A 24,970-nucleotide genomic window follows, 5' to 3' on the forward strand; every position below is an offset into this window, starting at 1 on the left:
TCCCTCCCTGCTCTCCTCTCCCAACCCTCAGCACAGACTCCTCCTTTCTGAGACACCCCAGGGCCCTCCAGACCAAAACCAGCGGACCAGCAAGAAGGCGTCAAGAAAACTCAAAAACAAAATAAAATGAAGCCTCGGGTGCCTTGCCTTCTCCAGCAAGGCCTCTTCTTCCCTGGGTCCAACTCGAGGCTTGCAAGTCCTGATCACACCCTCCCCTGAGGAGGCTCCCACTCCCTGTGTGCCCAGAGGTCACTGGCCGCCCCCAGCAGGCTCTGGGCCAGGGTGGGTCCAGATCTTGCAGGGCCCGAGGTTTATACAATTCAGGGTACACTCATCACAAAGAAAAGAATGCCAAACCACACAGGGACATTAGGGACAGGGCCTGGTCACACAAGGGGCTCTGAGCTTCAACTGTTTACCTCACGGTGAGTGGACCAAATTCTCCCATAAGGATCTTCACAGCCTGGGGCAGAAAGACCTAAGCTTTCAATCTAACAGTTTTCATTTTCACCACCAGTTTCTTCAGAGAAAACTGACTCCTAAGCCTCATTAATGTGAAAAATGAGGAAAGTTGGGGGAACTACTGGGTGGGAAAGGAATTGAGGTGGGAAATGCACGACCTTCTGCCTGGCTCTTGCAGCTGTTAGAAACCACTGGTGGCTCCATCTCACATTTCAGCCCAGCAGGCTCAGCCCCAGAGACGGGGAAGATCTGTCTGCTCAAGGTCACACAGCATGCCAGCCACAGTAGGATGCCATCCTAGGTCTCGAGCCAGAGTCCACTGTGCCTGCCTCTCCCCACTCTGGACTCAACAGGGCCACTTGCCTGTAACTCATGACGAGGTGGGGGCCAGCTCCTCCCAAAATGCAGTCAACATGAAACCACAGATGTGTGCAGGACAGGTGGGTGCCTACTGTCTTGGTTCTTTCACCCCACTCTGGAACCCAAGTCCCATCACCAAGATTCGACCTCAGAGTGGAAATCACTCATTGCCCAGCCAGGAGCAGAAAGGGCCTGCACCAGCCACAGTTCAAGAACACAGGATCCCACGAGGCCTGGGCTCCTGGGACATGACACAGTGAAGACCCAGGGCCTCCCTGGGAAGTCAGGAGCCTGTCCTCTTTTTTTATTTTAATTTTAATTTTAAGTTCTGGGGTACATGTGCAGGGTGTGCAGGTTTGTTACATGGGTAAACGTGTGCCATGGTGGTTTGCTGCACCTACCAACCCATCGCCTAGGTATTAAGCCCAGCATGCATTAGCTATTTTTCCTAATGCTCTCCCTCCCAGGAGCCTGGTCTCTAGGCGCAACTGAGCTGGTGACTCACCGGACAACTGTGCAAGGTACCTCTCTATGACTCAGTTGCCTCATCTGCAAAATGAAAGGAATACCTGATTTACCACCCTCGTGGGGCAGAGAGGTGGATGGAATGTAGGCACAGTTATGACCACAGTGAAGAACATAACTGCCGGAGTTGACACCCTGGGACCCTACTCACCGCTGTGTGACCTTGGGTAAATAACTTAACATCTCTGGGCTTCAGTTTCCTCTTCTATAAAGTGGGGCTGATATTAGCATATCATAAGGTCATAGGGAGGATTACACCAGTTAGTATCTGCAGAGTCTTTAGAATAGTGTCTGGCACACAGTAAGATCTAGTAAGTATGAGTTAAATTTAACATCAGGCTGGGTGCGGTGGCTCGTGCCTGTAATCCCAACAGTTTGGGAGGCCGAGGCGGGTGGATCACCTGAATACAGGAGTTTGAGACCAGCCTGGCCAACATGGCAAAACCCCATCTCACTAAAACTACAAAAATTAGCCAGGCAGGCGCCTGTAATCCCAACTACTCAGGAGGCTGAGACAGGAGAATCTTTTTTTTTTTTTTTTTTTTGAGATGGAATCTCCTTCTGTCGCCCAGGCTGGAGTACAGTGGCATGATCTCGGCTCACTGCAAGCTCCACCTCCTGGGTTCACACCATTCTCCTGCCTCAGCCTCCTGAGTAGCTGGGACTACAGGCACCCGCCACCATGCCCAGCTAATTTTTTGTATTTTTAGTCGAGACGGAGTTTCACCGTGTTAGCCAGGATGGTCTCGATCACCTGACCTCATGATCCCCCCGCCTCGGCCTCCCAAAGTCCTGAGATTACAGGCGTGAGCCCCCGTGCCCAGCAGGAGAATCTCTTGAACCTAGGAGGCAGAGGTTTTGGTGAGCTGAGATCGCGCCCTTGCACTCCAGCCTGGGCGACAGCGAGACTCTGTCTCAAAAATAAATAAATAAATTTTACATGAAATTAGGAAAAACTCCATCTCTTTGTTTCCTCAGTGAAAAGATGACCCCAAAGGCACAGGGTGACAGCCAGTCAGCCTTATTTCTATAGATTATCAGCAGAGCCCACTCCTAACAGATTCTAGACCTGGTGGTTAATTCATTAGCCAAGCATGCAAATGAGCAACAACCACTCAAAAAAGCTGTCAAATGCCTGATTAAAAAAACTTTAGTCAATACTAACTATTTACTGTCAAATAGACAAACTAAGAATAATAATATTAACTCAGGCTGAATGTTGGTTAAGTTCACCCCTTGGGAGCCCAGCTGCCTTTCTCTCTTTTTCTTACCTTATCTCTCTCTCCTGTTTCCTGAATTACTGCTGGAAGTATGGAACTACGTACATAAAACAATAAATAAGGCCTCAAACCTTAAGAGAAAAAAAAAACACCCATTTATGTGACCAGTATTGTCTGTCTTTTTTTTAATCCAATAAAACTTTCAACTACAATCGGTGCTGATGTCACCATGTTAGCGGCACACACTCTTGACTCTGGTTTGCACAGTTCACATGGCAGGTGGGTCCACCGCCTCCCTGGAAGGCCAGTGGGACAGGAAGGGCTCACCCCCTTTCTCAGCTGAGGAAACTGGGACTCCACCAGGGGAGATGGCCTCAAGCTACAGGGGTGGGCACCCTGGGATGGCAAAAAGTCACCTGTCCTGACTCGAGATAATTGGGGTCTGGACTCAGCTCTGCCAGTAACTAGTTATGTAAGTTCAGACAAGTCACTGAGCAGGTGAGAAGGGAAGAGTTGGCAGCAAGGTCCTTCCAGGAGGCTAGGAAGCCAGACCCTTCCTCTGGATCCCACCGGCAGGATCTCCATTATCAACAACAGCTAAAACCCACAGGAACCTGTTCTATGTATACCTTGTCTGAATCAAACCTTATAACAAGCCCAAAACACAAGGAACATTATCTCCAGTTATAGGTACCGAGACCTGGGGAGGCAAACAGTTGGCTGACAGTCACATAGCAAGACCCTGGCAAAACCACAATTCCACAAAATAAAACAAATAATTTGTATTTATGGGGGAAAAGTCTATGCAACAGTGAATATAAAATAAAAGAAATAATCATATGTATGGGAAAAAATCTAAAATTCTGGCCCAGGTGCACCTGAATTTACAGTGTACTTCATTCTTTGTCACCACCCATCTCTCCAATGCCCTCATTAGGAAGTACAGGACAGTATATACAAAAGCCACAGACTGAAGGCCATGGTCCCTGGGGGTCTGAGGACTTCTGGCTGTATCCACAGGGTCATATCTGGGATGGGCTTCAAAGACCATTTTGGATGGGGTCAGAGGTGGTGCCCGCCATCAAGGCCCCACCAGCCAGACAGACAGAGTTAGAATACCCATCCCCAAAATCCTCCACACCCCTTGCTATCCAAGGAAACTAGGCCTGACTGAGTCTGACTCTGCTTTGCTGTGTGACCTTCAGCAACTCCCTTAACCTCTCTGAGCCCCAGTTCAAAGTAGGGTTAGAAATATATATTTCAAGGTTGAAGAATTAAGTGAGATAACCCAAGAAAAGCATCTAGCACAATGAGGAATACCAGGTAGCGCCCCTCTTCCCCACCACCCACCAGCCCAGCCCAAACTCTGCCCTGTTCAGCCATCCCAACACCCAAACCCCAGCCTGAGCCCAGGGCCATGTCCCTCAGACAGAACACTGCACTATTCCTCGGTGCAGACAGAACTAATAATTAGCTGTCATGATTTAATAATAAAAAAAGATAATCCATGCCACAACACACATGGATTTAACGCATCTTAATTTGAAGGGAAAATAACAACTCTAAATAGATCAAGTGCAAGTTTTTTAAGGCAACCTGCGAGTGGGGTTTATCTCCAGTTTCCAGCACAAGCAAGTTATTTAGTTTCTCTCACTAGCCAAGCTAATATTTTTTTTCACGTTTATTTTATTTATTTTTAAAAGTCTGGAGAGAACATTCCCAAAGCAGCACGTAAATCCCTGGGCTCGTCAGAAGTCCTTTTCTCTCACACATTTTGCTTAGCAATGGGTCACTGGGGCCCCAAACCAAACCCTTATCTGTGCCCCACCTGCTAAGAGAATCTCCCAGGTAGATCCCGCGTCCTCCCTAGGTTGTGGATGAAGACATATCAAGTGGGCAGGGACATCGCAGCCAGGGCTGCCTGCCACCTCCAAGCCCAGAGGGATCTGCCACCTCCTGTCACCTGCTGCCTGTCTCCGCACTTCTCCAGAAAACTGACATTCAGGACTTGGAGGGTTACGGAGGCAGGCCTATGAGTGACAGCTGATAGTTAATTCCTCCCTCTGTAGCTTCATTTGGTTATGGAAGGGCTGAAAACAGGCAAAACCAAATTCCTGGTGATCAAGCGCCTCCCCTTCAGTGACTATCAAGTGAGAATTATATGGAGGAACCTGTAGGAAATCACCGTGAGAGAGATCCCAGGTAAGTGATCATGGTTTTGACCAAGAAAAACACGTACTCGGCATGCTGCCAAGCAGGGTCCACACTTTCCTGTGTTTGGCTTTCTAGAAGCATCCACTTCTTGATCATCTGCCTCAGGCCCAACCGGTGCCAGGTGGGTGCTTCCTCATTTCATCCTCAGCATAACCCAAAAAGGAGGTGCAGACGAGGAAACGGAGGCCAAGAAAAGTGAAGTGACTCACACAGGTGGCCAGCAGTGAGTGATGGGGCTGGGATTCCACCCGGGAGATGCCAAAGCCTGTGCTCCCTCACCTGAAACCCCCCGCCGGCTCCTCAGAGTGCACCGCCAGCAAAGAGATCCTCAAGGGACAGTCACCTAACAAAAGGCAGAATGGACGGGAGAGAGTCTACTCCATGCTGACACTGCCTGTGATGGTGGATTTAGTCCCACAACCCAGTGGCGGTTTGTCCCAACCCTGACAGGAGCCCATTGCCAAGAAGACCGGTGCAAGCTGCTCTAACGCCTGAAAATGCGGCGGAGGAGGGAAAGCCGAGCGCCAGGAAAAGCTCCTATTTGCAGCACACCTACCCCCACCGTGTGCCAGGCACTCATCATAAATGTCACAATGACAGATGAGGAAACCGCGGCTCAGAAGGTCAAGTGGCTGCCGGAGGCTGGCAGGGAGCAGGGTGGGGCTCTGACTCGGGCTGTGTTCTTTCCCACACAGCAACAGACAGCCTTCAAACCCCAAACACCCTGAAAGCCCCTTTCTCCTCACCCCTCCTCAAAACACCCCTCCCAGATAACGGCTTGGCAGCGCCACGTGCTCTTTGCAAAACCTGGAACACCTCTCAGCTCCCCCAAAGGATGGGTCCTGTGCTCCCCTGAACTCCCACAGAGGCAGGGAGAATGCCACAGGCAGGAACCTTAAGAAACATAAAGAATGTAAACCTATAGGCAGCGATGTATCAGAGGCACCATAGCTGCCCTGAGTCAGACCACCAGCTAAAGACCCTGCCTCTGACCAGCTTCGCCCCATCCCCAGAGAGGCCTGAAACAAATTTCCAAGGACCTCCTCCGTCCACAGCGAATGCTCAGCAGGGAGTGGAGCCCTGGATCCAGAATGCACACGTCAAGAGCAGGGCTGCTGCCAGCTCACACTCTGCCCATTATCCCCATGTTGGACGCCCGCTCCCTCCTCTGGGGGCTGTTTACCTGGGGATCCAGGTGGGGACACCCAGGGCGGAGGATGGGCCCCAGGTGCTCAGTTGCTGAATGAATGAATGAATGCCCTCCAGAAAACAAAGCTTCAGAAACTTCCTCCCTCTACCTTCCTACTTCTCTATCATTTACCAAAAATAAAAAATAACAGTAATTACTCTCCAGAATGACTATCCCGAGGAAACAGCTGATATGGGGTCCCCGACCTAGTGTGATGACTGACAGAATCCCCCTGCAGTTCTCACCCTGGGATCTCCCTTAAGGGTGGGAGGAACCCCCTTCGGGTCTGCCTCTGGAGTCCCCACTTCTAGAAGCACCTGGTAGCAAGGAAGAGCGGGGACCTGCCTGGGTATCAGGAAGGTTGCTGGCCCTGGAAAAGGCAGGACCCTCACAGCCACCAGGACCCTCGAGGTCACCTCACCCTGGACTCCTCTGAGCCTGGACAGCCAAAGCCAGAGGCAGAGTCCAAGAATTAACAGCCACCCGCTCACCAGCTACTGGCCGGGGCCAGCGAGGCCCTGGGGACAATAGCAGGTCATGGAGGGATTGGAGGACTCCTTGGAGCCCCGGCCAGGAGGCAGAAGCCTGGAGGGACAGCCGGCCCGGGGGCCAGGAGCGTGGGCAGCAGCTGGACGGGTTTCCGGAAGCCTGGGCGGAGAAGTGCCCGTGATTCCTAGTCCCCCTCTTAAAATATAAAGACTCAATTATCTCTGAGCAGCTTGCTTTACACATGAATTGACACATTTATTTTACAATAAATAACTGAAAGTTATCTGTGTTTCCTTTACTGTTAATCTACACAGAGAAATAATAAACAGGGCTTGTCTACAAAAATGCAACTACTGCAGTCCTCGGAATTCAATTAAGCTAAAATAATTAATGCTCCCACCATATTAAATTACTTTATACATTTGAGCCACTGAAGTTTTCTTCTTTAATCTTTCCTTTTTATTAAATAAAAAAAGAAAAGTTGCTGCCCAAGTAGGCAGGGAAATAGGAGGAATGGGAACTAGAAGGCAGGCGCATGTGTGCTGTTAAAATGGGATGGTCGTCTTCAGCTGACACAGCATGTAGACTGTTTTGTGCCTTTGATTAAAATAACATTTTAAATGCTTTGAACAAACATATCTCTTTAGACTTCTAAGGGATTATTTTACATATTTCTTCTAGAATGAAGAAATCCATTCGTCCTGTTGCTGAACAGAAAGGCCAAGAATATCTTTCGTCACACATAAAATAAAGATACTGTAGGCTGCTGCAGTATCACAACCTGGAAAAAAAAAAAAAAAAAAAAAAAAAAAAAACAGGGGGGCCAGGGGGTGGAAGGATGAGGACAAAGCTGCCTTGGAGATTAGCTTTGCCTTTTATGAAATCACATTTAGTCACTTTCTTAAACAAACCTGCCACAGTGATCTGCAGCCTCTCATTGGGAAATGCCTTCAATGTGAAATGAGGATTTGGATGTTTTTGGCAAAAGCAGCAAATCTTTCCATGGAAACATAAATAGGCGGCCCGAGTCTCCCTAGCAAGGCCACCCCTGAAAGATCGATGTGCACTGAGGCCAGGCGTCGATACTACAGGTAAAACTGTCCCTGGAATGTGGACCAACAAAGACAAAAGGGACCCAGCACCTCTCTCGCCTGATGGCTCAGCCCGGTGAAGAGACGCTGCTCAGGTGCACATAGCACTCTGAGAAGCCAGTGTTTACATGCCGGTGGCCTGGACATGTCTCAAAGCCCCTTGCATCTTGGAAAGTGTATGAGACACTTCATGCTAGGGCACCCATCAGAAGGCAAGGCCCAGAGGCCAATCTGGTTCACTGATGTCTCCCCAGTGCCTGGCATGAGGCTGCAGGACTCTGCATACCACCACAGTCTCCCCACAAAAGAGAGGGCTCACTAAGCCCCTTGTGCAGGTGAGCAAAGTGAGGCTCAGCATCACAAAGCTTTGGAGACGTGGGGGAGACAGGCTTGCAGCATTACCCTGACTGCGTCCTGGGTGATGGGTCTTGATCAGTGCCCATGCCCATCCATCTCACCCTCCTAGAAGCATCGAAAGCCTGAGTCCCTCCAGAGCCCATGCTACCTTCCATGATGGAAGCATGGTAACGATCAATGCACTCGTTTCCCCAGCCAGCCACCTACTTGCACACCGCAGAGCCAGACGAAACCTCTGAGAGAGAAGTGCCACGGGCAAAAGACTGATTAAGAGCCCCTGCTCATCTAATCCTCACACCAGGCCTGCTGCTATTATCACTTTCTGTTGACAGATGGGGAAACTGAGGCTCGGACCCATGAAGTGGCTAATCCAAAGTCAACCATCAGGATTTGAACACTCGTCTGCATAAACTCTGATGCCCATCTTGCTCCAGCACAGGCTGCTGCTTTTTAGGGAACCCAGGCTGGCCAGGCCCTCCTTTCTCCCCCAGGCCTCCTGGGCTCAGAAGTATAAACCAGAAACAAACACTCTGGTTTGCACAGAGAGCAGCGGCTCCCTGGAAGAGGCTCCAGCATGCCATGGTGCTGGCCAAGAGGGAGGGACTTCATGCTAACTCACTGTGGTGAGCAGACCCACGCCTGGGGACAGAGGGGCCCTAGACCTGTTCTCAAGGTGGTAAAACCAGCTGTCCCAGTGGTCAAATGAGTGAGCATGTCAAAGGGCATATCCAACCTCCCCCAACGGGCACAGTGCTCCAACAAGTTCCCACACCCCTGCCTGGGACCGGCCCCTGGGGTCGGGCAATGTCAGAAGCAACCTCTGAGATCAGGGGGCCTAACTCCTCATTTCACACATGGGAAACTGAGTCCAGAGAGAAAGGAGAGGGGAGAGAATGAGCACTCCCATTCCTAAGTGCCTACCAGGTCATGCCGCATGCAACAGCTCATTCGTCCTCACAGCAACCCTAATGAGGTGGGTTTCCTTAGCTCCATTTCACAGATGGGCAAACTAACATGTCCAAGTTGTGAAGACAAACTCTAACCCAAAACTGTCTGGCTTCAAAATCAGGGACTAAGCCAAGATCAGTAGCAAAGAGAGGGCCAACCAGACTTCCAAATTTTCATTCTGTGCTTCTGACCACCTCTGGATTAGCCCCCGAGACAGAGTCCCCTCACCAAAAGCAAGCAGCCATCAGCCATTTGGGCCTCCCCGAGCCCCAGGCCTGTCTCCTCCTGAAGGTCACCTGGATGGTGGACCCTCAGAAAGGGGGAGCCCCGGCTGGTGGCCCAGAGGCCATCCTGGAAGCCCCTGGGCCTTCCCCTGCACCAGCACACTCAGGCAGAGGGCATGGGACCCAGGAGGTGGCTTCCACAGCAACCAGGCAAGCGCAGCATCCCATACCTGCAATGTTCTCCTGCTTGGGACAGATGCCTTTCGTGGGTGAGAGCAGGTGGTCATCTTCGTCGGGGGTGACTTGGATCCCGATCTCCACCGGCTCGGACACTTTCCTGAGCTCGGAGCGTGAGGAGGGTGGCGGGCTGTCCTTGTCCAGGGCCTTGTCATAGCAGGCACCCAAGCTGCCGCCACACTGCTTCCTTTTGTGCTCTATAAAAACCAGGATGTCCCCCAAGGGGAAGTTCATTTGACACTGGCCACAGGTGAGCAGGTCAGGGTCGGGGCCACCCACCATCAGCCCCAGGCCACTTGGCTCCTCTATCTCCAGACCCTCGTCTTCTTCGAGGATGGCGGCCTCCACATGGTCAGCCTCTGCTGGAGACAGAAAGAAGAAAGGGAAGGGGCAGAGAAGATAGAGATGGGCTTAGGCGGTCACAGCACCCAACTTCCGGTCCACCCCTTCCCCGCCAAGAAGCAGCCCCCTCTGCTGCTGGCTGCCAGAGCTCACCAGGTCCTCCCCGGGGTTGGGGGCTGGTGAGCATCCCCCACAGGACAGATGGGCACACTGAGGCTCTAGGAGCAACGTCGTGCCCCCTGGGCATTGCCACGTAAGTAGTGCCGATCTTACTGCATTCTAGTTTATTTTCTGCCAGTTTCTCCCCAACGTAGTATAAGAACACACACGGACACACGTGCATACACACACACCCTGGCTGCTGACAGCATGAGGTCGTGATGTGTCTCTCAAAGTTTCCAGTATCTGAGAATCACCTGGAGGGTTTGAAAAATCCCAAGGCGCAGGCAGCACCCCTGACCAGTTACACTGGGAACAAACATCGGAATAGTCTTTCAGACTCCCCAGGTGATTCCAATGGGCAGCCAGGGCCGAGAACCAGTGAGCTGGAGCCCTTTCCCCCTGCTGGGCTGGAGCCCCACCCCTCCCATCCCTTACACCTTCATTCATGCCCTCCCCATTCATGCGAATCCCACTCACATTCCTCTACCTGGGACCTGGCCACACACCAAACTAGAAAACAGAAACCCAGATGGGCGTCTAAGGGCCCGTCCTTAGGAGAGAAGGAAGCCCACATGCTCAGAAAGCAACAAGTGAGTGTCAGGTTCCAAAAAAATATCTTAGGAGAAAGCACTGCAGCAGAAGGGAGGCTGGAACCGGCTTGCAGAGTCGGGAAGCAGGCTCTCCTGCCAAGCACCCGAGGCCCGGTCAGACTTCCATTTCTCTGTAGATTTCCCCCACACTCATCAACTCCCCACTGTCCTTTTCTGTTTGTTGATTTTATTTTCACTCCCAGAAAAATGAAAGAAAGAAAATTCTCCAGACTCCAAAAGCATTTCTTGGAAGATATCAAACCACACTTTCAATGGACTGTATGTTTTTATATTTCTTTAGCAGCCGATAGATTTCTCTTGGGTTTTTTTTGTGGGGGAGAGAGTAGGGAGCCTAGGACCCAAATATTTGGAAGCTAATAAATGCCTCAAAAAGCAGCAACCTCCTCAAGGGAAAATTGGAAGACTCGGCAGCCAAAAGTGTCATAAATAAAGAGAAGTGGACAGTGTGGAGGTTTCATATTCCCCTCGGGGTCTGAGCAAATTCGGGCTGGAATTTTTCGAGAGCAAATGTCAGTAGTCGTAGAGAAGACACGAGTGGCGGGGTCTTCAGGGAAGCCAGAGGGCAGCCAAAGGTCTGAAACCCGAGGAGGCAGGTAAATTTTAAGTTGTATGGTATTTAGGGAAGGATAATGAAAACCACAGAGGAACGGCGAGAAGGAATGGGAGGGAGGAAAATACATTCCGTGGCAGTGAAGTTATTGAAGTGCCAGAGCCAAAGAACAGATAATTTAAGGAAAAAATTCTGTGGCATCTCCCATCCTACACATAAATCACTGTTCTCTATTTTCTGAACACGAGCCTATGCAGGGCCTAGGAGAGTCCATGTGTGAAACTGAATACAGAATATACGACGATGTAAGACGTACAACGCGCACGTATGAACTATGTGTGAATAGGTAGCGACGTAGGTATCGCTGAGAAGAGAAACTACAATTTGAGATCCCACCTGTGGTTACAGAAAAGCAGACAGAGCCCTCGATGAATTAAATGCAGAATGCATCAGAAATGTGGCAGTACAGAAACGCCCCGCAGACGAGGAAATCCTAAATCTGTTGTCTGCATCTCTCTAAGAAAAAGAACCTACAAGGTAAAGAAACAGTCCTCACAAAGCCGGTCCCAGAAACCATTAATTACACTTTAGAAAGAAATAGGAGTTTACTTAAAAATGGGTTTGAAGACAATGCCACGTAATTAATTTACCAATTTATTTTATGAAAAGATGCTTTGCTATGGTTAAAATGTAATCACAACCTTCCCACCGAACAGAGGTTCTAGGGAAGACTGGATTCCTGTGAACGGTTTGTCAGAATGTAAAAGGTAATTATTTGGTGCCTCTTTTTCCCTTTAATGATCTAACATTGAGCAATACTGTTTATATTGAAAAGCTCGCACCTTTAATTACCAATTACATATACATAATTTCAGAGCCAAAGGAGAGCACTGTAAAAACAGTTCTTTAGAAATATAAGGATGTATTGTGCGCCATTTTTACAGAAGGTGCTCTAATAAATGGGAGGAGGATGTCAAAATATTGTTTTGTTAAAAAATAGAGAGAGAGGCACAAAAGAAATGAGCTGAAAAGCAAAAAAGGACATAATGAAATTGAGAATTCAAAGGAAACAGGGGCGAGGTGCGGTACCTGGTACTATTTTAAATACCACCCTGTCCAGGCCTGGCAAACTCCTGCATCAGTGGAAGATTTGATAAAAACGTACAACGACAAATCCACATGGCCAGCTGGACCGTCCTTTCTGAGGGCGAAGAGGTCTTCTTGGTTTTTTTAATTTAATCTTCGGTTTACTTTTTTGTTTGCTTTTTTATTAACTTTTTCAGCCTCGTCCGCCCTCCTGAGTAGGAGTTCTAGCAAGCCTAAATATCTCCTCTCTGCTAGGAGGTTTTCAACTACATAATTTCAAACTCATTTTCTAATTCAAAAGAAACACAGATGAATTTAAAAATTAGCAGAGGTCACACGTGCCTGTTCGCAAGCACCCCTCCTCCTCAGCTTCGTCTTTTGCCAAGACTATGTACCAGCACTTTTTCCTTTCTCTCCTCTTTTTTTTATTTTTTTATTTTTGGTAACATCTGGTATTCTTTCCTTTTTTTGGCAGTCTCTGCCTTTTCACTTTCCTCATGCAGCAGCCCTGCGAGCCCCCGTAATTGAGTTTGAAGGTGTCCAAAGCCGTTTGCTGTGCTGCAGCTCTGATTTCTGCGTCAAGTCCTAACAGCCAACCAACCTGGGAGCCAGGCCCTGTTGGCGTCCCCGAGACAGCCCCGGGATTATCCAGGCCTCCAGGGCTCAGTTCTGAGCTGGGATCTCCACGTCCCAGACCAGAGATCCAACTCACTGCCTCTAAGGGAGTCTGGGAGGAAAAGAAACAAACAAAAAATATCTCCTTCCCCTCCCACTTTCAGCGTTGAAAGTTAAACCCCTGAGATGACAGGGTGTTCACCCGATTCCAAAGAACGGGGTTTCCTCTCCCCACCACCCAGGCTGTGGCGCTGTGCCTTGGCCTGCTGTGTGCGACACTTCCCAGGAAGGTAGCAAGGTCACCCTCAACATCAGGCAGCAGAGTCACCCCCAGCCCCAAATTTCTGGGTCAGAGTAAGTGGACCAAGTGGGCCTGAAAGCTCACGTTCAAGGCCTTTGTAGACACCCCCAAAGACTGTGGTTTCACTTCCGCTGGCAGGCAGATACCAAGCTAGGCGTGTAGGGTGCCTGCATATGTGTGCATGTGTCCCTCCTTAGAACTGTATCGATAATGGAAGAAATAAAAGGAGAAAGCCAAGCCCTGGGAAGGGCAAAGTGACACCCCTCTTTCTCTGCCCTATGGACACCTGAGTCTCCCGGCTCTGCACAGCCTCAGAGAGCCAGGCCTCTGTTCTAACAGGCAGAGTGGTCCAACCTGCCACCCAGAGACGAAAAAGCACCAGGAAAAAGACCAATGAAAACAGTCTTTCAAATTCCCAGACCCTACAGGCCAGCCCCTCATGCAGCCTTGTCCAGCAAACTCGGGCCTTAAAAAAATAAAGCCAAGATGAGGTTTTCCTCTGAGATGATCTCTGCTTTCATGAAAAGCTCCCCAAGTGTCGGGCAGCCCTGCAGAATATTGCTGCTCTCAATATATTATGAGCCGAATAAAGTAGAGCAATTGCTGAAATGTTTGACTCATTAAGAGGAAAAATGAATGGATGCAGCAGACAACTTGTTCGAAAGGCAGATATCAGAGGGCTGAGGCGGATTCTGAAATGCTAAATCCTAAAGTGCAGGGACAAATCTGTATTTACACACACACACACACAAACACACGAGTTAGATTTTCTTTTACAACAAAACCACATTTTATTTACAAGGCCAGGCCTCCTCCCAGCTGGTAAATGCATTTAGAAGCAATCACAAATAATAATGGACATCGTTGTTAAGTGAAAGGGGAAGCACTTGATCCCAAGACAAACTTCCCCATGCCTCGGCTTTGCTGGGAAGGAATTTGAGTCAGAAGAAAGAAATGGAAAGACATCGTTAACACAGGCCCAGCCAAGCAGCCAACAAGCCCCCAGCAGCTGCAAGCTTTCAGCAGGGCCTTACCTGGCCAGTGACTCCCCCACACACAGGGTGCCAAGGACCCCGCCCTCCCTGGCCCATCTCTAACAACTGCCCATGCACCTGCCCTTAGGGGAACTCCAGCCGAGAGGTCTGCTGCCTGCTGTCCCCAGAGCACAGGCATGTGCGTGGCTGCCTGCACACACACATGTGCATTGCTACATACACAGTACGTGGGCTGCTGCTCCTCCTTACCCTGCATTAATTCAAATCCAACTCTCTTATCTTTAATGGCTAAGCTACAGTCCAGGAGAAACATACACAGAATTATTGTTTCAGTGATGACGGGGGTGGGAAAGGGAAGGATGTGGGGGGATGGGTCCCAGGCTCTTAAAATCGTGTGCCACCAACGTCACAACCGCCATCATGATGTGTACGCATGTTTACAAGAAATGTTCAGCATCCATCCGCCCGAGCTCTGCATCCGACTGGAGACTTTACACCTGCTTCCTACGAAGAGGGAGCTCTTGCCAGCGAGCCCATGCTTACCCATAATCTACGAAGAGATCTTTTCATCTCCTCTCCGTGAACACTTGGGGAGGGGCTGGGACTCCAGGCGACACGGAAACGCCACCACACGCACACTCGACGGAGCACAACACTTTCTGAGCTGCCATCCATTTTTAATTTATTGGATCCAAGAGAAAATAACAACCGTAGGGAGGGGGGAGGAGAAGGGTGGAGGGGGAGAGAGCAGGAATCAATTCTTGGTGGAGAAAATAATCTATGACTAGATGACGCTTAAAGGCACGACAAGAGATTTTATGAAGTTCCCCTAACGGAGGGAATAATGAAGTGCCTGGCAGAGAAGGAAATGGAGATAAGAGGGAGGCTGGTGTCAGGAGGATGTCCACAGGGGGTCTCGAAGGGTTATTAGGACACAAGTTGGGGGTGGGGACCCTGGGAAGGCACAGCCAGGCGGAGTCTGAAGCAGGAAGCAAGACCCAGATCACACCTCTCTGTCCTGACCCTCGACCCTCTCAGCAGACAGTCAGAGGAGTCCAGCCTGCTCCAGGTCAGCTCTGCACCCTCCTGACACCCTCCAAAGGCTGCCTCCCTGGAGGGACAGATACATACCACAGCCACCACCCCATGAGGTCCTGTCTGCCCCTCCTCAGCTGAGGCACACACCTCGATCGCCGTTTCTGACATGTGAGAGGGAGAGCAAGGGAAGGCGGCCGGTGCAAAACATGCTTCCCAGTGTGGGCTTCCCAGGAAAATGACCAGGGTCCCGCTGACTCCGCCAGCAGCGGAAACTTTGGGCCTGGCCTGCAGGCCAGGAGGTGGAAACTCCAGATCCGTGAAGAGGTTTTAGATGCAGGAAGAGGCTCACTCCCATACCTTCTGGTCTACAGACTCCAGGCGGGAAAGTCGAATGTTTGGGGAGGGTCTCCCTGTGTACAGATTGTTTGCAGGACTCCAGCCTAATTTTAGGATGCTTAAGCAGCTCCCTGAAAAATATCCTCAGTTGCTCTATGGAGTCCAACCGCCTTCTCTCCCCCACTGCACACACCTCTCCAGAACCCCAAAAACTGAGCCCAGGAGTCTGGGTCTCCCCAGCACAAGAGCAGAAAAAAGAATAATGCACACACCTCTCCAGAACCCCAAAAACTGAGCCCAGGAGCCTGGGTCTCCCCAGCACAAGAGCAGAAAAAAGAACAAGTGAATAAGGAAAACATACTCAGGTATATTCACAGGTCTCAGCCATTACTAAAAGGTTACAAATAAAAGTCTTGACAAATAAAATAGGCGCTTTAAAGAAAAAGAAAAGGAAAAGATTTACCACAATAGCAATCCTTCTCAACACATTTAGCAGGTTCTATAAAACTGCAAATGCCTTCAATCTTCAGAGCCACAACGGGCTCCTAACGATGTGATAAAAAAGCACTCTTTGTGGGCAAATGAAGAGATTTGTTTTTATTTAACATTATGCTTTTTTCAAAGGTGCGGAAGAAAAGAAGGGCTTCCACACAGGACACTGGACCTCAAGGCTTTAGCTGGAGGAGTTTGGATTATCTGAGGCCAACAGCAAATAGCAAGGGCAGGAGTGCTTTCGACATCTCTTTTCCAAGGTAGGAATTTAAACATGACACCGCCCCCCCCCTTTTTTTTAATTCTTAGCAGTGCATCCATTTCTGAGGCACATGTTAATCACAATAATATTGGCACTCAACTTTTCTTGAGTCATTTCTGCGTGTTGTTTTAGTAGAAAACTCATTAGAACATTTCACAAATGTATTTATTTGTATTTCAATAAAATAAGTGGAAGGGGGCCATAAAAAAGAAGTTATGTAAAAGAGAGGATTTTTTTTTTCTTTTTTTACTTTGAAGTGACTTAATTTTGTGTGGTCTGGGATTTCATTACAGTAAAATAGCTCAGGCTGGCTATTCAACACCCAAGCAAATTATCAGCTGCCACAAGAAAAAGAAAAAAGAATGAATTTCTTGATTTTCAGCAACTGCACAAAAGACTAGCATATGTCAAAATGCTGGACCAACATCCCGTGAATGTGGCACCATTCATCAAGCCTCCATCTAGTGTCACTTTTGCCAGCAAAAAACAAGGCTGCTCTGCTCACCCTCCTCACTGGCTTGTGCAGAAGACGCAAGAAATGTGTCCTTCTCTTTCCACGCGTCTCCAAATAGCCTGCTCTCGGCACTTTTTACCCACGCCCTGGGAAACATACTTGCTCAAGGGAGGCAGTCAGCACACGGCGTTTCTTGGGGAGGGATGGAGCAAGAGGGGGACCGAGCCTGAGCACATCTCCCTGACATTTGGCTCCCTGGGACCGGAAGGAAGCTGAGTGGGATCAGGGAGTAGGGACAGGACAGAGCACACAGGACCTCAGGCCAAATGGCCTGAGTCAAAAGAGTGCCGCACAGGACCTCAGGCCAAATGGCCTGAGTCAAAAGAGTGCCGCAAAGTGACAAAGCATACTCACGGCAGCTGGATGACACAGACATTCATTCCTAGTGTCTTCTGTACCCTTCCCCATTAATAAATACAAAAGTGTATCTACAGCTAACACCGTCTTCAGAGAAAGATGCTCAGCCGGTATCAATAACTCAACCATGTGGTGCAGGGTACAGTCCCCAAAGACCATTTACTTTCTCCTTGTCCTCCCCAGATGTGAAGCCAACATTAACCTCGAGGCCAAAGTCTTTGGAGAGTTTCAGCTAAAGGTGAGGCCTAACCAGGCAGCCAGAAGGTCCATCCTTAAGCCATGGGAGATGAAGGAGAGTCTCCAACGGACAAGAACCTGACCCCCTCCCATTCCCTCCCCCATATATTTTTTCCTGCATTGTCTTATCTATGATCTGTGTTTAGTTACAGCTTGTGAAACTCCCCTGAGTTCTAAGGCAAAGGATTGGAGATTGCTAAACTGATTTTTAACGGTTTTCTGCAGCTCAGAGACCACCGTCCGGCCCAAGACTTCGAGGTCACCGTGCCTCTTCATCTCTGAGTGGTCCAGTGAGCTCGCTGCCACTACATGCTTACAACTGGCTCGATTCAAACATTAAATGAAGTAGAGAAATCATCAGATAAATTGCTGGCCCTGTGTACTGGAGAGTGAAGGCTCTTTCTCCAGCTGACGACAGCGCTAGGCTTTTGTCTGACCTAATTTATTTCTCTTTCAGGTTAGAATAAAGCACTCTTTCCTGTCGCAGGGTAACCTCTTCTGCTCATATATTGAACTCTAGCATAAGACTCAGGGTGCAGTCTGCAGATTTCTTCAACTTGGGAAAGAAGACATTATAAATCTAGAAATCCTATGATCAAAAGCACATATATTCCCCATCACTAGATTACATGTTTAGGGGAGAAATCCTCTCATTAAAAGCCATCCATAAAGGACAACTGTTTGGGGTGAAAGATGTGATCAAGACTGGCTCTAGCAATCACATACTCTTTCCAAACAAAGTTTTACATGTTATTTGAGTCGGCATTTTAAATCTTTGGGGAACGGTGCTATTTCCCTTAGTTCAGTGGGAACATTACCTAATAAATGGAATTGAGAATCCAAGTGTCATAAAATTTGAGCTAAAAGGATTTCCATTCATCAAGCTGTTTTAGGTACACGACTCCCAAAAGCAGCAACTCTCGACTGTTCCCTGGGTCTGTGACATGCAAGACAGAAATGAGCAGTACGCCTTCCCCAGACCTCCCCAGCCCGATCACCAGCGCCTTAATAACGCAGCAGAATTTTCAGAACGTCAAGACCACGGACGAATCAGGGAAAACACACCCATTCAAAACTCACAATTTTAATTGTTAAAAAAGAAAGAAAGAAAATCAAAGAAAAAGAAAATGCCCCCATCTGCCAAGTGAGGGCTTGTAAATCAATGGCGATAGCTTGAAAATAGATTTCTCAAACTTATATTCTCATTTTGTCCTGCACGAATCTCTGCTGGAAAATCAATATTACAACTTCACACTTAAGGTATTTTGCAGCAACGTAAACTGCCGCCGCTGCTGATGGAAGCCCGTTCCTAGCCCATTGTAGCGGAGGCGCCAAGCCATGACACGGGCACCGAGCTCCCCCTAGCTGCCAAGTGGCGCTAGGCGCGGCTCGGCGTTTCAGCTTGCCATCAACCAAAAGCCAATTCAACTGAAAGTTTATTTTGGAAAGTATTTTATCACAACAAGCAACAGAGAATGCAAAGCAATCGAGATAGGAGATGAAAAGGGGATAAGTGAAGGCTGGTGCAAGCCGTGTTCTAAGCTATAAGACAGTGCCAAGAACTCCATTCTGAGAAGGCGCTAGAAACTGGTATCTGTAAACGACTGTTTTCTGTGCTTCCGTCTCACCTGAGACACAATTCTAATTATTCTCAAATGCACCCAAAGTTGGGCTTCCCTTGGGTTGAGTAGGACCCACTTAGCCCTCCACACTGGTCACTGACACAACACACCCAACCAGCTAACCCAGCCTCGATGTCTCTAAGGCCGGCTTCACAAAAGCAACTGCATTCACCCCAGCACTTCAGAAATGCCTAGTTTTCTGTTATGAAATATTTCAAAGGCCAGACAAAAAATCGCCAAGGCCAAGCACAGGCAGATAGCAACCTCCCCATCAAAAAAAAAGAAAAGAAAAGAAAAGAAAAGAAATATGCATATGTACATCATATCATTCAGGTAGGGAAAAAAGACCCTTTAAAAATATTAGGGGCTGTTAAAATATGCTCACGGCTGTTTTCTCTCAGGTGTGAATTACAAATGAATAAAATCAGCCTGGCATAACACCTTTGGTGAACACGTTTTTATTCTCCCATTGAATCAGAGCAGCTGACTTATATCACACTTCTAATGATATGGGGTTCCCTTCTGTGCAGAAGGGAGAGGAACTTCACCCCCCCCCCACCAACTAACCAAAAAAAAAAAAAGAGGGCTATGTCTTATGAAATTTATCGGAGGCCCAATTCTGAAAGACATGTGGACCACTGGAGATATACTCTACCCTGGGGAGTTAAGATAATTGTGAGCACCGCTGCCTTCAAAACACACAGCTACAGCAAAACCTAATTCAAAAGGTAACCATGGAATTAACACAGTTAGCCTAACTTTTGCATTGAATCTTGCTTGGGTCTCTAGTTGTTTTACAAAATCGTGAATTCATACGGAAAATTACTAATCTTCCTAGGAAACCTGTTGGTGGGTTGTTGAGAAAATCACCTTGACTGGGGTTACGCAGTTTACCGTGGACATCTTATTTTCCTTGGTCTCTTCAGAAAGCATCAAGCTCCTTCTTGGATTTAAGTACTCTTCCCTTCACCCTGGCCCTGTCTGGCACAGCGGGCTCTGGCCCTTTCCTCTGCGTGGTCAGCCGATCCCCCTTAACCTCCCCTCGGCACGATTGCCACTGTGTTGTTTTGTGTTTGTTTTTTTATTAATAGCTGTGTCTGTCCTCTGCTTTTAAAAGCCATATCCATCTGGGTCAAACATTTTGAAGCAAACCAGAAGCCCAGGTTTCCATCACCAGCTGTCTCTCACTCTTTTTTACCTCACTCCTCTTGTCCCTGGCCCTGTCTGTAAATTTAACTAGCTCATTATGGAGCCCTTCTCAGACGCTCCCTCCCCCCTCTCCCCTCCCCACCGCCACCCACCCACAAAGACCATGCGTGCTATTTGTGTGCCCTCTTGTTTCCCAGGCCATCAGTTATTTGCAGTTGCATCATCCCTGAAGGACCTGAGGTTGCTGCCCCACAGGCCCAGGAGCTGCCACCCAACTGATAAAGATGTACCATGTTTTAAGGGGTATCTTTGGAATTTAAAATCTAAAATGTGAACTCCAAGTAGAGGATGCGACAGCACCCGCTTTGCCAGCCAGGGCTCCAAAGCACCCTGAGTCCACGGCTCCTGCATCATTTGTGGAGAGGCACTTCCAGAGGCCAGAGAGGCTAAAGTGCACCCCATTCCTGCCTTTCCCCTGCTTGCTCTCCCACCTCCCTCCCAGGTGACACAGGACAGACGAAAAGCCAGCTGCTTTTGGATAATAAATAGCCTTGTCTGAAAACTGGTTGGACCACTCTCCTAGCTTAAACCTGTACACATAGCCTGGGCTCCGTGTGCCCCTCAAAGGCAGGCCGGCTTTCCTTTGCCCTCTGGTCTCCTTCCCCTTTTTCTCTCCACCTCTCTTCTCCTTTGCCTCTCTCTTTTTCCCTCCCTGCCACTGCTCCAGTGTCAGCTGGCTTTCCCCAGCGTGGCTCTGAGCAGGGCTGAGCGAGACAGGGAACAAATGAAGGATGGGAAAGTGCTGCACCAGGCACCCCTCACCCCCATGCCCAGCTGCCACCAGTCCTCTGGCCAGGGCTCTCGCCTGATGTCCCAGGAATGCCAGGAGAAGGAGAGCCAAAGCAAAGCGAACCTACCTGCTTCTTCCCCTTACACACAACTGCAACCACTCCTGGCTCGCCGCTGCTGCCAGCTTGGCAGTGCACCCCCATCCACTCCCCCTTCCCCGACCCCCCCAATTCCCCCTCCTCAAAAACAACCCTTGCAATTATACAGAGGCTACGTGGGGCAAATTGCCTCCTGGAGAAATTAAGCCTCTGCAAGTATAGACGTTTTAACAACCACCCCATCTAAAGGGGGAAGGGTGTAGAATAAGCGATTGCTGTGGCTTGGTAAAGGATCGAAATGTCAACTGGCAAAAAAGACCTTGATCAAACCAAGCTCAAATCTAGCTGCAAAACATTTTGTTTTAAACGCAGCCGGCGAGTCTTCTTTGGTGTTACAACGGCGAAAAATAAAAGAGAAGTCCTCTTCCCTTCCTCCAAAGAGGCATCCCTCTCCCAAGGCGAATCCCACTTTAATTTCTATTCCCCCCCCCCCAAAAAAAATCATAATAAATCCACAAATTCTTACTAATGTATCTGCTGTAACAAAGGAGAGATGGCAACAGCAATTGCTCCGAGCAGATGGCTCCTATGCTGGGTTTTCAGGGGAGGGGAGAACCACTTTATATATTTATTTATTTATTTAAATTTTTTAAAATATAACATAAATATTCGGCTCTCGGCCGCCCGGCAGCCAGTCCTCTGCGGTGACTGGGCGCGCAGCCCTCTCGAGCTCCGCGCGGGCAGCCCGGCCCCAGCCCGGCGAGGTGCGCGGCGGATTGCAAGCATATAACCTGCCCGCGGTCTCGATGGCACCCAGAGGATGTTTTATTTCTATTGCAGTTAAAAAAAAAAAAAAAAAAAAAAAAAAAAAAAAAAAGGAACGGCGACCCAGGCACCGCGAGAGAAAGAACGGCGGGGAAATGTTCGCGCGCAGCGAAGAAGCCGCCCCGCGGGCTGCGGCGGGCGGGGAGCGCCGCAAAGCCACCTTCCCGGTGCAAGTGTGCGGGGACTCGGGGCGGGTTCCCCTGCAAACACCGTACCTGGCCCGCTCGCGCTCGCTTTTCCCCTCTGCTAAATAAACCCAACAGGGACGGTGGAAGCTGCTGCTTGTCTTGCCCCGCTGCCTGACTTTGCCCGCCCAGCCACATGCTTGAAATCGACACGATTTCAGCCGGTGGATTTCCACTGCGACCTGCCTTGTTTATTTAGATAGGAAAGATGAAAGATACTGAGATAGAAAGATGGATACGAGATTGATGGGTCTCCTTTTTTTCTTTTTTTTCTTTTACTATTTTACAAGCGCATCACTCTCTTCCCACTCCTAACTGACAACCTTTTTTTTTTTCCTCGTGGCGGGGATTTTTCACCAACCCCAATCCCCCCACCTTTTTTGAAGTGGGGGAAAGAAGACAAGATCATCCCAGGAGACAGACGGAGGTGGGGAAGTGGGGGGTGGGGAGGGGGGCTTGAGCCCGGCAAACAGCCGCGCAGCTGGATTATTTTGCAAATAGCAGGAGGAGGGGAGAGAAAGGCGGCTGCGGAATCCTAGGACTGGCGCGGCCGGCACCCTGCTGGGCCGGGCGCAGGGACCGGGGACCCGGAGCCGGCGGCCGCCCCTGGCCCTACGGCTCCCCCAGCCGGAACGCACCCCGCTCTCCTCCGCCCGCGCCGTCAGCGCGGACCCACGCGCTCGCCAACTTTTCCCCACTTCCCGGCTCCCCCTCCCCCTCCGCTCCCCCAGCCCCCTCCCCCTCCTCTCCAAACCCCGCCACCAGCGCCGCCGCCGCCACACACGCCGCTCGGAGGGGCGAGCGTCCAGCCGGGCTCGGCGCGCACACACACACACTCCTCCAGCCTGCATGCCCCCTCCCCGGCCCGGAGCCGGCTCCGCAGGCCCCCGAGCCCGAGGCGCGTCCGGCTGCTCGGCGCCCCAACTCCCCGGGCTGCAAAGAAACTTTCCTATGGCCCCCGCCCCCCGCCATGCTCCAGGCCGACGCCGTAGACTCTGCCAGCCAGCGGGCGGCCCCGGCGCCTGGCCAGGCTCGGCTGTTCCGGGCTCGGTGTCCCCAGCCCCAGACGCCCGGAGCCCCATCTCCGGCCCCTCGCGCGCACTCCGCAGACACTTACGGGTGATGAGCTCCCTCTGGGACAAGTGCTGCGGGTTGCCCTGTTTGCGGCGGGACATTGCCCCGGCATCTATTCTGGCATCGCCCGGAGAGCTGCACTGATGGGGGGAGCCGGGGGAGGGGGTCCGAGCCGCCGCCGCGCCGCTGCCGCCGCTGCCGCCGCCGCCGCCGCCGCCGCACCTCCTCCTCTGCCCGGGTTGGTGTTTTTTTTCCCTTCCTCTCTTTCCCTCTCTTCCTCCTCTTCTTCTTCTTTATTTTGCTCTTTCTTCTATGCTGTTTTTTGTTTTGTTTGCAAAAAGAAAAAAAAGGGAAGAAAAGCAAGAAAAACCTCTCGATCTAAAATAAGAAAAAGAGGCAAAAAAAAAAAAAACTGCTGTTGCTTTCCGCGGACTGGCTGGTTTCTTTAAAAATATATTCTTTCGAAGGAAAAAAAATCTCTTACACTTCTTCAAACTGCTTGGCCTCTTGCACTTGCAAATGTCTTCTTGAACTTAAACTGGGTTTTGCACCGGCTCCTGACACTTTCTTTCAGGGTCTGGTAGGTGGAAAGCGCACTTCTACCAGGAGGGGAAAAAAAATGCAAACAAATAAAAAAATAAAAGAAGAAAAAGCAAAGGAAAAAAAAAAGCAAAGAAAACTTGGGGACTTGTCTCGTACCCCCTCACCCCGCCCCCTCAAAAAACCCAAAGCAATGTAAAACTGCCCCGGTTCGGTTGTTTCTGGGTTTTCTGCGGGCTGCCTGTTTTTGTTTTTGTTTTTGTTTTTTCTCGGAGACTGACCCTTCCGAGGCTCTGGGGGGACACCAGGAGAGGCTCCTTCCCAGTTCACCTGGCAGGCTGGCGCCGGCCGGAGGGGCTGCCGAGTCCCCGCGAGCGCTCCCCAGCGCTCCCCTGGCGCCGCGGGCCCGGGGGGAGCGGGGCGGAGGGGCGGCTCGCCCAGTGCGCCTGGGTCGGTGCGGGCGCAGACTGGGAGCTATAGATTGCAACGTGAAGATGGCGGAGTCCGGGTTCTCTGGGAGCTCTCGGTCTCTCTATGGCTGGGGCTGCCTCTGTACAATGGGATAAAATTCAAGTTCAAGTGCGGACGTGACGTTTAATCTGCACTAGAGACAAAAAGACCCAGAGAGTCGGAGCACTGGGGGCGACTAGCGGTGGCTTTTTAACATTGTACCCTGTAAGAGAACAAGAAAGCACACACAGAGACACACTCGCGCGCGCGCGCACACTCACACACACACACACACAGTCGCCAGTTGCGCACACCCGCAGCCCAAGCCGGACACACGTGCAAACCGCGTTTTTGTGCGCTCATCTCCCCCGAGCCCCGGCTGCGCAACAGCGGGAGGGGGTTGGGGGGGGCCACTGGGCAGCTTATTTTAAAATAAAAGAAAAATCGTCCTTATATCTCCTCCATCCTGGGAGCAGGACCCCCTGAGAAGGGGGGCGGGGTGCTGTGTGAGTGAACTAAATTGAATCAATGCAAGTCTCCACCCACCCAAAAGCTCTTTCGGACTTGGACTTTGGGGGTGGGGGCGTGGACTGTGGAAAAGGGTTGGGGTCGACATGGGAGTTGGGGGGACAGTAAGAATCGCTTCGTTTCCCTGGAAAAGTCGCTTGGTAGTTTTTACTTTTGTTTTATGGTCGCGGGCGGCGAGGGGAGGGGAGTAGATGTTGGAGTTCAACTTCCAAAAAGTGTCTCCATATAAATCCTGGTATTACAGACTCTGGGAGGGTGAGGATGACAAAATAAACGACACTAAGACAACAGAATCAAGAGCACGTGAGGGGGTGAGAAGTGTTTGAGACCTTGTTTGAGTCCCACTTGGAAAAGGATTTTCACTCAAATCTTTGTCCCCTCCCCTCACCTTACCCCGATTAACTCCTGGGGTCAAACACGACCCCACCTCCTAAACTGGGTCTATGGCAAGCGAGAGGGTAAAGGGACCGGGGCGCTCCACGTGGGAGAGGGACTT

The 24,970-nt window shown here is 50.2% G+C and overlaps 1 protein-coding gene across 6 annotated transcripts in view, besides 4 other annotated features; it reads right to left on the minus strand.

The window, feature by feature from the left end:
• BCL11B (BCL11 transcription factor B) overlaps positions 1-24,036 on the minus strand; it is a 102,911-nt gene extending 78,875 nt beyond the window's left edge. For 2 of the 6 annotated variants that reach the window (NM_001282238.2, NM_001282237.2), the window contains exons 1-2: positions 23,000-24,036; positions 9,310-9,675 (exon numbers count right to left, since the gene is read on the minus strand). In NM_001282238.2, the coding sequence (NP_001269167.1) occupies positions 9,310-9,675; positions 23,000-23,057 (424 nt within the window). In that variant the 5' untranslated portion in view covers positions 23,058-24,036. Of the gene's footprint in view, positions 1-9,309; positions 9,679-20,902; positions 20,940-22,999 lie in introns of those variants that run through there. The other 4 variants (NM_022898.3, NM_138576.4, XM_047431707.1 and 1 more) reach the window with 3 other exon arrangements.
• Positions 9,326-9,600: a silencer, noted in NCBI's record as "fragment chr14:99723824-99724098 (GRCh37/hg19 assembly coordinates)". NCBI's record gives its function as "represses an EF-1alpha promoter that drives an FKBP-Casp9 reporter gene in an ReSE screen in phorbol 12-myristate 13-acetate-treated (for megakaryocytic differentiation) K562 erythroleukemia cells {active_cell/tissue: K562(+PMA)}" and the evidence as "EXISTENCE:reporter gene assay evidence [ECO:0000049][PMID:32094911]".
• Positions 20,133-20,738: an enhancer, noted in NCBI's record as "H3K4me1 hESC enhancer chr14:99734631-99735236 (GRCh37/hg19 assembly coordinates)". NCBI's record gives its function as "activates a minimal SCP1, AML or CMV promoter by ChIP-STARR-seq in naive H9 embryonic stem cells {active_cell/tissue: H9 hESC(naive)}" and the evidence as "EXISTENCE:reporter gene assay evidence [ECO:0000049][PMID:30033119]".
• Positions 20,739-21,343: an enhancer, noted in NCBI's record as "H3K4me1 hESC enhancer chr14:99735237-99735841 (GRCh37/hg19 assembly coordinates)". NCBI's record gives its function as "activates a minimal SCP1, AML or CMV promoter by ChIP-STARR-seq in naive H9 embryonic stem cells {active_cell/tissue: H9 hESC(naive)}" and the evidence as "EXISTENCE:reporter gene assay evidence [ECO:0000049][PMID:30033119]".
• Positions 23,883-23,962: a silencer, noted in NCBI's record as "silent region_6060". NCBI's record gives its function as "represses an Ori minimal core promoter by ATAC-STARR-seq in GM12878 lymphoblastoid cells {active_cell/tissue: GM12878}" and the evidence as "EXISTENCE:reporter gene assay evidence [ECO:0000049][PMID:35858748]".

The sequence above is a fragment of the Homo sapiens genome, chromosome 14, assembly GCF_000001405.40.
Source record: "Homo sapiens chromosome 14, GRCh38.p14 Primary Assembly".
Classification (NCBI taxonomy): domain Eukaryota; kingdom Metazoa; phylum Chordata; class Mammalia; order Primates; family Hominidae; genus Homo; species Homo sapiens.